At 45.3% G+C, this 15,230-nt stretch overlaps 1 long non-coding RNA gene across 1 annotated transcript in view; it reads right to left on the reverse strand.

Moving 5' to 3' along the window:
- Positions 1–2,037: 2,037 nt before the first annotated feature.
- Positions 2,038–15,230, reverse strand: part of LOC105374946 (uncharacterized) — a 33,129-nt gene continuing 19,936 nt past the window's right edge. Inside the window, exon 3 of the long non-coding RNA XR_926520.1 lies at positions 2,038–2,109. This is a non-coding gene — a long non-coding RNA (uncharacterized LOC105374946). The remainder of the gene's footprint in view (positions 2,110–15,230) is intronic.

Here is a 15,230-nt window from a genome sequence, read left to right on the forward strand (position 1 = left end):
CCTCAGCCTCCAGAGTAGCTTGGACTACAGGCACAGATCACCATAACCAGTTAATTTTTGTATTTTTAGTAGAGACAGGGTTTTACCTCGTTGGCCAGACTGGTCTCGAACTCCTGACCTCGAGTGATCCACCCTCCTTGGCCTCCCAAAGTTTTGGGATTATAGGTGTGAGCCACCGCGTCCAGCCTAATTTTTGTATTTTTAGTAGAGACGGGGTTTCACCATGTTGGCAAGGGTGGTCTGGAACTCCTGGCCTCAAGTGATACACCTACCTTGACCTCCCAAAGTTCTGAGATTACAGGGTTGAGCCACCATGCCCAGCCACAAGCTACTTTACTTTTCTAAGTCTCAATTTAACTGTAAGATGTTAGTAATGGTAGATGACTGTAAGACTGCTAGAGGATTAAGTGGAATATCCTATGAAGTGTATCTGGCCTAAAGTTGCTATTCAATAAATAAATGCATATGATATCTCTTGCAAGGTAAATGATTTTAAATGACTTTGGTGTTTTTTGTTTTGTTTTGTTTTGAGAGAGGGTCTCACTCTGTCACCCAGGCTGGAGCACAGTGGTGTCATCTCGGCTGACAACAATCTGCACCTCCTGGGCTCAAGTCATCTTCCCACCTCAGCTTCACGAGTAGCTGGGACAAGTGCCAACCATATGCCTGGCTAATTTTTAAAATTTTTTGTAAAGACAAGGTCTCACTATATTGCCCAGGCTGATCTCAAATTCCTGGGCTCAACCGATCCTCCTGCCTCAGCCTCCCAAAGTGCTGGGATTGCAGGCGTGAGCCACCACGCCCAGCCTAGTTTCAGTCTTTATTGCCTTTCACACTCAGTTTTACTTTGTCTGAGTAGAGTGATGAGTAGAGGGAATCCCAATCCCTTTCATACTTCTCTTCCCATCAGTTAGCAATCCATTTTCTGGCAAACTTTCAGGTCCTTTCCATTTTAGTGAGGCTGTAAGCGAAATAATAATAATAATAATTTTTTAAAAAACCTTACTCACCTAGGTACCATTAATTCTTCTAAGATGGTAAATTGGGCCAAGATCGAGTCACAATAAAATTTTGTCATTCTTCTACGATGGAGTGCTGGGCCATCTCTTGATCACATTGGATGTTAACTAGATGACCTCTTGTAGTGCTTGGAAAAATACTCAGAAAGTACGCATTTAGATTGTAGTTTACCCTGCAAGCGTGTACATCATCTCTCCACAATTCAGTGACACCTCATCAGTCCTCTACATGGGGCGCCTATCCCACAGCTATTCAGATCCCACAGAGAACCCAGGTCCCGCTTTTGCTTTCGTTCTGCCTCAGAATCATCTAGCTAAGGAAAACTGCTTTCCAAGTTTGGGTTCAAATCCAGGTCAAAATAGTCCCTTTTCCCTCCTCACCATCCCACACCAACCCCTTCCCCAGACCCCCAGTTCTGAGCATACAGAACTAGGCACAGGGTTGAAGGATTGAGTGAATAAATGCATGAACAATTGTCCCAGCAGGTTCTGAGGCACTGTGTCAAGTGTGCTAAGACACAGGCCATCTGCTTTGTATCTTGACACCACGGAGTGTTTGTTTTAGTCATTTCTCCTTGCTCCCCTGAATCTCCCAAGCCCCAGCATATTTACAGCCGTTCAATAATAACTTCTTAGCCAGGGAATTCAAGATGAGTGGCAATAATTAACAGTCCTATGAACGTATGTCTATGGATGAGGGGAGAGAATTCCAAAGGTAAAAACAGCACTTGGGTGGACTTACCCTACAGACATTGCTTATCGGATTGGCTGCATGCTCCTAGAATGGCGGGAATGACTGTGGTCCATGAACTGTCAGTGTCAACATTCATCCAGGAACTTGTGAGGAATGCAGAATCTTGGGTCCCTCCCCAGACCTACTAAATCAGGATCTGCCTCCTAACAAAATCTCAAGGTGATGAGATTGCTGCTTGTCTAGGGACTATGCTTTGAGAAGCAAGACTGTACATTACCCATCATCACCTAAAGAGGTCACACATGGTCACACCTCCGAAGCTTGGCTCATGCTATTCCTTCTCCTTACAATATCCTTCCCCATCTTCTCTCCATGAATTCTACATTATTTCAGTTCCTACATGGAAATCATCAGAGCACCCATTTTAGCACTTAACGAAGAGAATGGCTTGCTTACCTGGACTCTACCTAAGCATTCCTAATTACCTCGAATTGTAATTACCATAGTTGTTAATATGGACTGGAGCTTGGGCTACATAGTGAGCCCCCATCTCTACATAAAATTAAAAAATTAGCCAGTATGAGCCAGGCGCGGTGGCTTACGCCTGTAATCCCAGCACTTTGGAAGGCTGAAGCGTGCAGATCACGAGGTCAAGAGATCGAGACCATCCTGGCCAACATGGTGAAACCCAGGCTCTACTAAAAATACAAAAAATTAGCTGGGCATGGTGGTGTGCGCCTGTAGTCCCAGCTACTCGGGAAGCTGAGGCAGGAGAATCACTTGAACCTGGGAGACGAGGTTGCAGCGAGCCAAGATCACGCCACTCCACTCCAGCCTGGCAATGGAGTGAGACTCTTTTGAAAGAAAGAAAGGAAGAGAGGAAAAAAGAAAAGAAAGAAAGAAAGAAAGAAAGAAAGAAAGAAAGAAAGAAAGAAAGGAAGGAAGGAAGGAAGGAAGGAAGGAAGGAAGGAAGGAAGGAAGAAAGAAAGAAACAAACAAAGAAGGAAAGAGAAAGGAAGAAAGGAAGAAAGGAAGAAAAGAAAGAAAAAGAAAGAGAAAGAAAGAAAGAGAAAGAAAGAAAAGAAAGAAAAAGAAAGAAAGAGAGGAAGAAAGAAAGAAAAAATTAGCCAGTATGGTGGCATGCACCTGTACTCCCAGCTACTCAGGAGGCTGAGGTGGGAGGATTGATTGAGCCCTGGAGTTGGAGGCTGCAATGAGCCGTGGTCACACCACTACCTCTAGCCTAGAAAGCAGTGTGAGACCCTGTCTCAAAATATATATTTTTGAGCAACAAGGTCTTCCTCTGTTGCCCAGGCTGGAGTGCAGTTGCACAATCATGACTCATGGAAGCCTCCCAGGTTCAAATGATCCTCCCACCTCAGGCTCACACCTATACTCCCAGAACTTTGGGAGGCTGAGGAGGGAGGATTGCTTGAGCCCAGGAGTTGGAGACCACTCTGGGCAACATTATAAGACCCTGTCTCTACAAAAAAATAATAATTATGAAAATTAGCCAGGCATAGTGGCGCATGCTGACAGTCCCAGCTAGTCAGGAGCCTGAGGCAGAAGGATCACTTGAGCCTGGGAGGCTACAGTGAGCCGTGATAGTGCCACTGCACTCCAGCCTGGGCAACAGAGCGAGGCTTTGTGTCAAAAAACAAAACAAAACAAGCAAACTATATATATATTTAAATATATTTCTCCTGTAGGACTGAGTTGTTCAACAGTAGAGAGAGATTATGTTTCTTCATTGTCCAGAACATAATATGTGCTCAATAAATGCTCATTCAGTGAACATTGGCACTGTATGCTCTTTGTCATTTCTATGTTCTATAGGTTCCAGAAAAAGCCACGTCATTTATAAGACATCCCACTAAATTTTAAATTACGCCCCATTCATCATACAGCAAACACCTATGTGCTTGCTGAATGAAAACCCATCTTGTGGCCGGGCACGGTGGCTCAAGCCTGTAATCCCAGCGCTTTGGGAGGCCGAGGCAGGCGGATCATGAGGTCAGGAGATGGAGACCATCCTGGCTAACACGGTGAAAAAAAAAAAAAAAGTCCCAACAAAATAAAATCCCAACAAAACAAAACGTAAGCTCACACCAGTTCATCTCCTCATGAAGTATAACCTCTAATGCAGTATCACGCTCATTTTCCATGACTTACCTGTTATGAGCACACATTATTCCATTATTAAACACTAAAGGAAACAGAGGACCTACTAGGCAAGAAGAGTTTTCAGACTGTTAAGTGGCTGGAAGGTTGCCTGGTCCTTGCGCCCGTTAAAAGACTGCACAAAAAGTCAGCACGTCCTAACTGCATTGCAGGGTTTCTATTAACTCTCAGCCCTGTAGGATTTGTCATCCAGTCATAAATGGACCCCATTTTTCTGACAATGGGAAAGAAGCAGCAGTTGTAATATGGATGGCTGTTATTCCTATTACCTTCTATTAAGAGGCACTTTCTTTCTTACTGGATCTCAAACCCAGCAGATTTCTCCTCATCTTGTATTTTGAGTGTAGAAGGAAGAAGAAGCTGTGAGAATGTGCTGGTGATGTCACAAAAGGGTAAAGAGGAAGCACAATCTAATTTCTCCCCCACTTTTTTCCTTTTTAAGAATGTAGTTTGATATTTATTTAATTTAAAAAGCCTCTGGTCAGGCTTGGGGGCTCATGCCTGTAATCCCAGCACTTTGGGAGGCAGAGGTGGGTGGATCACCTGAGGTTGGGAGTTTGAGACCAGCCTGATCAACATGGTGAAACCCCATCTCTACTAAAAATACAAAATTAGCCAGGTGTGGTGGCGCATGCCTGTAATCCCAGCTACTCGGGAGGCTGAGGTAGGACAATCGCTTGGACCTAGGAGGCAGACGTTGCAGTGAGCCAAGATAGTACCATTGCACTCCAGCCTGGGTAACAAGAGCAAACTCCATCTCAAAAAAAAAAAAAAAATAGCCGGGTGCGGTGGTGGGCACCTGTAGTCCCAGCTATTCAGGAGGCTGAGGCAGGAATATCGCTTGAACCCAGGAGGTGGAGATTGCAGTGAGCTGAGATCACACCACTGCACTCCAGCCTAGGCAACAAGAGCAAAACACCATCTCAAAAAAAAAAAAAAAAAAGTTTCTGTACAGTGTAACAAATGCAATTTTTACAAATCTGTTTTGAAAACATGGTGGCTGTTGATTTGGGTTTCATACTCTTAACAACTTCATCCACCAGTTTTTTTAGCTTCCTAATGTCTTGTAACCGCTCAGCTCACACAGTTCTGAAGTTTAGCTCCAGTCAGCTCACTTCCAGTGATGACTGGATGGAGTCCTATTTTTTTTTTTTTTTGAGACGGAGTTTCGCTATTGTTGCCCAGGCAGTAGTGCAACGGCTCGATCTCGGCTCACTGCCTCCTCTGCCTCCTGGGTTCAAGTGATTCCTCTGCCTCAGCCTCTCAAGTAGCTGAGATTACAGGCAAGCGCCACCATGCCCAGCTAATTCTTGTATTTTTAGTAGAGACAGGGTTTCACCATGTTGGCCAGGCTGGTCTCAAACTCCTGACCTCAGGTGATCCACCCACCTCGGCCTCCCAAAGTGCTGGGATTACAGGCGTGAACCACCACACCAGGCCTGATTTTAGTGCTCTACACGTTCAGAAAAACTTGTCTAGTAAGAAACTGTAGAAATGATCCCTGAAGCCCTGAAAATATAGTCTTTTCTCCTCTTTTCTTTCCTTTTTTTTTGTTTGTTTTGTTTCGTTTTTGAGACAGGGTCTTGCTCTGTCGCCCAAACTGGAGTGCAGTGGCACCATCACAGCTCACTGCAGCCTCAAACTCCTGGGCTCAAGCTATCCTCCCATCTCAGCCTCCCAAGTAGCTGGGACTACAGGCACACACCACCATGCCTAGTTAATTTTTATTATTTTTTTTTTTTCTTTTTTTTTGGCGGGACGGAGATTTACTCGTTGCCCAGGCTGGAGTGCAATGGCGCAATGTTGGCTCACCGCATCCTCTGCCTCCCAGGTTCAAGCGATTCTCCTGCCTCAGCCTCCTGAGTAGCTGGGATTACAGGCATGTGTCACCACGCCCGGCTGATTTTGTATTTTTAGTAAAGATGGGGTTTCACCGTGTTGCCCAGGCTGATCTCGAACTCCTGACCTCAGGTAATCCGCCCACCTCAGCCTCCCAAAGTGCTGGGATTACAGGCGTGAGCCACTGCGCCGAGCCATTATTATTTTATTTTATTTTATTATTGTTATTTTTTTTTATAGAGACTGGGTCTCACTATATTGCCAAGGCTGGTCTCAAACTCCTGGGCTCGAGCGATCCTTCCTCCTCGGCCTCCCCAAGTGCTGGGATTACAGGTGTGAGCTGTCACTCCCGGCCTTTAATTTCTCCCCTTTTCTAAAAACCCCAATTAACTACCTAAAAATGTAAGAAAAAATGAAAAGTTTGTCTAACAGCAGGTTCCAAATTTACAGTGAGTGATAAGACAAGACTGGCCATGGAGGTAGGCGTTCTAAATTTAGCTCCACGCTACCTCCTCGCACAGGCAGGGAGCAAGTCAGTCCTCCTCTGTGCCCAGGTCTCTTTGCCTGTCCCACGCAGGCAGCATCTGCCCTATCTCCAGGGCCTTGGCTGGACAAAACAGATCACAGATGCAAAACTATTTCATATACTCTAAGTCAGGGCTTCTTATTCAGGGGTCCATGGCCCCTCAACCCTTGGCCTTGGCCTCAGGATTTTAACAAACATCCAGACACTATCTTATTGAAGCTGGTGTGTATATGTACATGTGCTTTTTTCTGGGGAGAGAGTCTATAGCTTTCTTCAGATTTTCAAAGGAGTCTATGATCCAAATTACTATCCTGCTCCTCTTTTCTCTGTTATTAATTTCCGAGTGTTTACTGAGCCTTCACCAGGGGATCTGTTATTAATGATGTGGCTAACTTCCACTTCTCTTCTAACCTTGGAGCCGTCAAGGAAGGTTTACAGGGTTTATATTGGTTTGGATTTCACTTTAGAGGAGGGAGGGGGTGAAGATCACGTCCCCAGAGATGCCTGAGGAGCATTACCTCATCTCTGGGGAAAGCTAAGCCCAGGAGCTCTCCCACAGGGCCCCGTCAGGGCAGAGCATGAGGCTGTTGGGCCTGTTCTAAGTCGTGTTCTGGGGTTTTCTACTCCGGCAACACCTAACATATGGCATGTGCACTGATGCTTATGAAAACAGTGATTCATTCTTAATCCTTTAAAAAAAAAAAGTCAACCCTATGTGGCCTTGGCTCTCCTCCCTGAATGCCCTTCTGTTCTCCAGAATGTCTGTGTTGTCACCTGCCTCAGCCTTGTGTCGTGCGCTCTGTGACTCTGCCTCTCTGCAGGCCCCCTCCTGCCTTCCATGTCTGTCTCATTCCATCCCCACTGCTCTTTCCTCAGCGTCCTTGTGGTCACTCTGAAGCTGTGCATCCTCAGCCCTGTGTAGATGGGAAGACCTTTCCTCTCCTTCATTTCCATCCATGCACCTTGCCCAAGTGCCCCTCACCCTCACGCCTCTTCCACACTGGGTCTATTCTATGCCTTTATCCTCCTTCCCTAGGCTTCGTCCCTTTAGGGAAAATCTCCAGCTATGGGAAAACCTCCCTAGCTGGGGAGAGGCAGGAAGTAAGAAGGTGAGGGAAGAGGTAGGAAAAATTGGGGTATGGGCTGAATGAGGGCAGAAGTGGGGGAAGTGGGCTGCAGGGAAAATGACTGAGAATCACCGACTTTGCCTCCTGTCTTGCAACCTCTGCCTCCTGGGTTCAAGCAATTCTTGTGCCTCAGCCTCTCAAGTAGCTGGGATTACAAGCATGCGCCACCATGCTCAGCTAATTTTTATATTTTTAGTAGAGACCAGCTTTTCCCATGTTGGCCAGGCTGGTCTCGAACTCCTGACCTCAGGTGATCCGCCCACCTCAGCCTCCCAAAGTGCTGGGATTCCAGGCATGAGCCACCAAACCCAGTCTCGTCTTGATTTCTTTCATAAAATCATTTGTTTGATGCCCAACTGGGCAGAAGATGAAGATGTTATATCGTGAGAGAAGACAGAACCTTGCCAGTCTTATAAAAAATGAAGGAAAGAGAAGGACAGAGGGACAGGAGGAAAGAGGGGGAAAGATTCGGGAGATCATGAGGGGTAGGGGATAAGAACGCATCATATCATAGCTAACTCTGCTGTTGTTGCTGTTGTTTGTTGTTGTTGTTCTTGTTGTTCTTTGAGATGGAGTCTCACTCTGTCACCCAGGCTGGAGTGCAGTGGCACGATCTCAGCTCACTGCAACCTCCACTTCCTGGGTTCAAGCAATTCTCCTGCCTCAGCCTCCCGAGTAGCTGGGATTACAGGCATGTGCCACCACACCAGGCTAATTTTTTGTATTTTTAGTGGAGACAGGGTTTCTCCATATTGGCCAGGCTGGTCTTGAACTCCTGACCTTATGATCTGCCCACCTTGGCCTCCCAAAGTGCTGGGATTACAGGCGTGAGCCACTGCGCCTGGCTATTTTTATTTTATTTTATTTTATTATTTTATTTTATTTTATTGAGACGGGGTCTTACCATGTTTTCCAGGCTGGAGTGCAGTAGTGCAATCAAAGCTCGCTGCAGCTTCAGGCTCCTGAACTCAAGGGATCCTCCTGCCTCAGCCTCCTGAGTAACTTGAACTACAGGTACTCCTCACGCCCAGTTTTTTGTTTTTTGTTTTTTTCTTTATAGAGGCCAGATTTGGCAATGTTGCCCAGGCTGGTCTTGAACTCCTGAGCTCAAATGATCCTTCCGCCTTGGCTTCCCAAAGCCCTGGGATTATAGGCATGAGCCACCATGCCTGGCCTTAACTCTGTTTAGACCAAAGCAGATCTTAACCAATGGATAGGCAAATAGGACTCAGGAGACACAGGAGAGTCATTTCTAGAGTCAAAAGCAGCCAATCATTGTCAATGAGGTTTAAGATTAGGGTAGTCCCAAATTATGCAATAAGGTGGGTTCCAAACATTGGTTGTTGCCTGGAGCTCAAAACATGTTTCCAAAAAAGGCAGTATCCTTTGAAGAAGTCCAACAAAACTGTGTGAATCTTGGTTCTATGTAACCTTGGGTAAGCAACAACCTCTCCGAGCCTTAAATAAAGATGACAATACCTTCTAAGAAGTGTATCTTGGCCGGGCATGGTGGCTCATGCCTGTAATTCCAGCACTTTGGAAGCCTGAGGCAGGAGGATCCCTTGAACTCAGGAGTTCAAGACCAGCCCAGGCAACATAGTGAGACCCTGTCTCTTTTAAAAAAAAATTAAAAATAATTAAAGGAAAAAGAAGAAGTATATCTCTCCTTTTTTTTTTTTCTTTTTGAGATGGGGTCTTGCACTGACGCCAGGCTGGAGTACAGTGGCGTGAACTCAGCTCACTGCAAGCTCCACCTCCCAGGTTCAAGTGATTCTCCTACCTCAGCCTCCCGAGTAGCTGGGACTACAGGCATGCACCACCACGCCCAGCTAATTTTTGTATTTTTAGTAGAGATGGGGTTTCACCACGTTGGCCAGGATGGCCTCTATCTCTTGACCTCGTGATCTGCCCACCTCGGCCTCCAAAGGCAGGAGGATCACTTGAGCCCAGGAGTTTGAGACCAGCCTGGGCAACATAGTGAGATCCCATCTCTATTTTAATAAAAAATTAAAACAAAAAAAGGCTCCAATATATGGCAGATAGAATTACAGAGAAAAGCCACAGTAGCTAATAACCGGCAATGCACTGAAAATAGACAACTGTGCTAAAAAGACCATAGAAACCGAACAATAGTGTACTGCACGATGCTTGCAGAGGAAAGGGATCTAGAGTTTCAACCCCTAGCAGTAGAAGTGGATTGTTGCAGCAAGTACAGCCTCAGCTGTCATCTGTGCCCTAGGGCAGGGTTCAGTAGGTTAGGCGTTAAGAGACAGTGTACCTCATAAGAAGTGGTCAGGTTTCTTTCTGAGTTTCAGTTCTTCATTTATAGAAAGAGGATAGTAACGCACACTGTACACAGATTGTAGAAGACTAAAAATAGACCAGTATCAAAAATATTAAAAATTTTGAAAAATTCAAAATAAGATAGACCCTATTCCCAAACTATTTTCTGGAACATCAGCTGTATGGGCTATTAATAGGAATTACCAAAAAGGAAGTTTCCACACTCAAATAAAAATGGGAAATGCTGGCCGGGCGCAGCAGCTCACTCTTGTAATCCCAGCACTTTGGGAGGCCAAGGCAGGTGGATCACCTGAGGTTAGGAGTTTGAGACCAGCCTGGCCAACATGGCGAAACCCCGTCTCTACTAAAAATACAAAAACATTAGCCAGGCATGGTGGCAGTTGCCTGTAATCCCAGCTATTTAGGAGGATAAGTCAGGAGAATCGATTGAACCCAGGAGGCAGAAGTTGCAGTAAGCCGAGATCATTCCACTGCACTCCAGCCTGGGCAAAAGAGCAAGACTTCGTCTCAAAAAATAAAAAGGGGGGCCGGGCGCGGTGGCTCACACCTGTAATCAGAGCACTTTGGGAGGCCGAGGTGGGGGGATCACTTGAGGTCAGGAGTTTGAGACCAGCCTGACCAACATGGAGAAACCCCATCTCTACTAAAAATACAAAACTAGCTGGACATGGTGGCACATGTCCGTAATCCCAGCTACTTGGGAGGTTGAGGCAGAAGAATTGCTTGAACCCAGGAGGCAGAGGTTGCAGTGAGCCGAGATCACGCCATTGCACTCCAGCCTGGGCAACAAGAGCGAAACTCTGTCTCAAAAAAAAAGGAAATGCTAGGTCACAAGGAGGTCTCATACATCATCGGTTGACATAGAAATATATGCAAATTTGCAATATCTTCCAACATTTTAAATGCACATCTCCTTGGACATGGCAATCCTGCTAATGAGATGAAGGAGAAACACTAAATGAATTTTTCTTTTTTTTTTTTTATGAGGCAGAGTCTCACTCTGTCGCCCAGGCTAGAGTACAGTGGTGCGATCTCGGCTCACTGCAACCTCCGCCTCCCAGGTTCAGGTGATTCTCCTGCCTCAGCCTCCTGAGTAGCTGGGATTACAGACATGCACCACCACAGCCGGCTAATTTTTGTATTTTTAATAGAGACAGGGTTTCACCATGTTGGTCAGGCTGGTCTCGAACTCCTGACCTCATGATCCGCTCACCTCAGGCTCCCAAAGTACTGGGATTACAGGCGTGAGCCACCGCGCCCAGAATCTAAATGGATTTCTTATTGTAGGACTTCTTCAAGACAATAATGTGATATGTAGCATCTCCCAAACATATTTAAACTCAGATTCCTCTTCTTACGAGACATCTCCTGGGACTAGAGTTCCAAGGAAGACATTTGGAAACACTCAATTAAACCATGCGTGAGAGAGCTCCTAGCACAGATGGTTTTCCAGAAGACTTTATTTTCTTCTGCTGGTCCCAAGATTGGCCTCAGACCTCTTATCCCATCATCACCATCTGTTCCTTATGACCAAAGTCTCTCTCTTCCCTGGCCAGCTACACAATCAGATATATTTCAGCAACTTCCCTCTGCCCTCCTTTCTCTGAAGTATAGATTCCTGTAGGAGTTTCCCAAAGATCTTTGTGGCTCATAGTCATGAGGAATAAAAAACAAAAATGTTTTCTCCTCCAATGTCCTCTTTATTCATTTTGTCTCTGTAAGGAATGGCAAGGTCAAACAGATATAAGAGGTGAGGCTGTGTATGTGAAAGACCCCAAGCAAAATTCACTAAATTTCAAAGAAAAATTAGATGATATGCCAGACGCGGTGGCTCACACCCGTAATCCCAGCACTTTAGGAGGCTGAGTAGGGCAGATCACCTGAGGTCAGGAATTCCAGACCAGCCTGACCAACATGGAGAAACCCTGTCTCTACTAAAAACACAAAATTAGCCGGGCGGGTTGGCACATGCCTTTAATCCCAGCTACTCAGGAGGCTGAGGCAGGAGAATCCCTTGAATAGTGACATGGGAATCTCAACAAGGAGGACCTCGTATGCCGTATACAGTGGAGCACTGGTAACTGGATACTACCTACACAAGTGAGGTCTGAAAGTAATCCCTACATGAATGAACAAAACTAACTGGATGTACATTGAGCATAAGTCAGTAAGTCATAGTGACTGCCTTGAGAATTAAAAATATAGAGAGATCTTGGCAAGAAGCAGGCCCAGCTGAGTAAGGCTATCTTGTTTGATGAAGTAAGGAAGGCTATCTTATTTTCTCATGTCTTACCCAGTTGAGTAAGGCTATCTTGTTTTCTCATGTCACAGCGACAGTATGAGAGTCTCCTTAAAAGAAATTCCTAGTGAAGACAGGGCACGGTGACTCACGCCTGTAATCCTAGCACTTTGGGAGGCCGAGGCAGGAGGATTGCCTGAGCTCAGGAGTTCGAGACCAGCCTGGGCAACATGATGAAACCCCATCTCTACTAAAACTTAAAAAAAAAAATTAGCCGGGCATAGTGGTGGGCACCTGTAGTCCCAGCTACTTGGGAGGCTGAGGGAGGAGAATCACTTGAACCCGGGAGGCAGAAGTTGCAGTGAGCCTAGATAGAGCCACTGCACTCCAGCCTGGCTACAGAGCGAGACTCCATCTCCAAAAAAAAAAGAAAAAGAAAGAAATTCCTAGTGAAATACCTTTTGCTCTACTGAGCAAAGTTTCAATGCCTTCTTTGAGGTACTGAATCCCAGCAGGCTGCTAGGGGAAGATTATTTTTCTAGCAGCATTTGTCAATAGATCTGTATCCTATTATAATCTACACAAACAGGCGTGTGGTGTGTGTGTGTGTGTGTGTGTGTGTGTGTGTGTGTGTGTGTGTATATATATATTTTTTTTTTTTTTAGAGAGGGAGTATTGCTTTGCTGCCCAGGCAGGCCTCAAACTCCTTGCTTCAAGCAATTCTCCCTCCTCGGCCTCCCAAAGTGCTGGGGTTACAGGTGTGAGCCTCCACATCTGGCTATCTCTGTTTTCTTCATCTTGATAGTGGTGTTCCTGACCAGCTATTTGGGGTTTTTTGCTGACTCTAAAGTCTCTGAAATTCCTTGAATACAAAGCGCAATGGAGGCACATATTGTTGTTATTATTAAGATAGACTGGCCGGGTGCAGTGGCTCATGCCTGTAATCCCTAAACTTTGGAAGGCTGAGGTAGGCAGATCACAAGGTCAAGAGATCGAGATCATCCTGGCCAACATGGCGAAATACCGTCTCTACTAAAAATACAAAAATTAGCTGGGTGTAGTGGCACGTGCCTGTAGTCCCAGCTACTCGGGAACCTGAGGCAGGAGAATCACTTGAACCCAGGAGGTGGAGGTTGCAGTGAGCCAAGATCACACCACTGCACTCCAGGCTGGGTGACAGAGCAAGACTCCACCTCAAAAAAAAAAAAAAAAAGATACAGAGGAGGAAAAGAAAGGTTAACTGTATGCACAGTTGAAAGATCATTTTTATAGAGGCCTCCAAATCACTATAATTAATTATTGTGGGGTGTCTTACATACGACCATGGAATGCCACATGACTGATTACTATAGTTTGAATGTGTCCCCCATTCATGTGTTGGAAAGTTAATCCCCTCTACAACAGTGTTAAAACGTAAGACCTTTTAGAAGTGATTGGGCCATGAAGCCTCCACCCTCATGAATGGATTAACACTGTTATCTTGGGAATGGGATAGGTTTCTTTTTTGAGACAGGGTCTCGCTCTGTTGCCCAGGCTGGAGTACAGTGGTGTGATATCTGCTCACTGCAACCTCCACTTCCTGGGCTCCAGTGATCCTCCTGCCTCAGCCTCCCAAATAGCTGGAATTACAGGCATGTGTTACCTTGCCTGGCTAATTTTTGTATTTTCAGCAGAAAAGAGGTTTTGCTATGTTGCCCAGGCGCTCAGACTCCTGACCTCAAGTGATCCTCATGCCTCGGCCTCCCAAAGTGCTGGGATTACAGGTGTGAGCCACTGTGCTGGCTAAGGGAGTAGGTTTCTTATAAAATGATGAATTCAGCCTCCTTTTGCTCTCTCCTCCTCATTTGCTCCTCTGCCCTCCACCGTGGGATGACACAGCAAGAAGGGTCTCATGAGGTGCCAGCCTCACGATCTTGGACTTCCCAGTCTCCAGAACTGTGAGCCAATAAATTTCGTTGTTTTTTTTTTTGTTTGTTTGTTTGTTTAGATAAAGTCTTGCTCTGTTACCCAGGCTGGAGTGCAGTAGCGCAATCTCACTGCAGCCTCTGCCTCCTGGGTTCAAGCGATTCTCATGCCACAGGCTCCTGAGTAGCTGGGACTACAGGCACATGCCACTATGCTTGGCCAATTTTTGTATTTTTAGTAGAGACAGGGTTTCACCATGTTGGCCAGGCTGGTCTTGAACTCCTGGCCTCAAGTGATCCACCTGCCCTCCCAAAGTGCTGGGATTACAGGCATGAGCCACCGCGCCTGGCCCATATTTCTGTTTATTATAGATCACCCAGTCTATGGTATTGTGTTACAGGAGCACTAAATGGACTAAGACAGTGATGAAGAATGTATACAATCTTAAAAGCACATGTAAACTCTGACACACACAGTAGAAAGGAAAAGTTACATTGAGCACAATGTCTCACATATATATAACCCCAGCACTTTGGGAGGCTAAGGTGGGAGGATTCCTTGAGCCCAGGAGTTTGAGGCTGCAGTGAGCTATGATTGCATCACTGCACTCCAACGTAGGTGACAAAGTGAGACCTCATCTCTAGTTTTTGTTGTTGGTGTTGTTGTTGTTGTTGTTGTTTTTGTTTTTGAGAGAGGGTTTCACTCTAGTTGCCCAGATTGAAGTGCAATGGAGAGATCTTGGCTCACTGCAACCTCTGCCTCCTGGGTTCAAGTGATTCTCCTGCCTCAGCCCCCCGAGTAGCTGGGATTACAGGCTTGCGCCACCACGCCCAGCTAATTTTGTATTTTTAGTAGAGACGGGGTTTCACCATGTTGGTCAGGCTGGTCTCAAACTCCTGACCTCAGGTGATCTGCCCGCTTCAGCCTCCCAAAGTGCTGGGATTACAAGCATGAGCCACTGCACCCAGCCTCAAGACCTCATCTCTAAAAACAAAACAAAACAAGACTAAAAAGGAAATATAGTTTGGCCAAGACAGGTAAATTTAAAAGTCAATATATTTGTTTCAGTAAAATATAATCAGGAAGATAAATCTTTAACGAGCAATTTATAACCTGTGTCCAAAGCCAAAGATAATTTTAAATATTCATTGATTTAAATTATGAAAAGAAAGGTGTCCTACTTGTTACTGTAAATAATTGAGAGTTAACTAGAAATTTAAATATTTTTTACGAATAAAGGAATGAGTTCCTAAATTCTTGAAAATTTGATTTATGATGACTTTTCTTTCATTAGGTTGTAACTAAAGTAATGAGATTAAAAAAACTGACAAATGGAAACAAAAACTAATAACATGAAGAACTAAGATTTGAATGTGTTTGTGCATAAGTAAAAGTC

Source organism: Homo sapiens, chromosome 6 (assembly GCF_000001405.40).
Source record: "Homo sapiens chromosome 6, GRCh38.p14 Primary Assembly".
Taxonomy (NCBI): domain Eukaryota; kingdom Metazoa; phylum Chordata; class Mammalia; order Primates; family Hominidae; genus Homo; species Homo sapiens.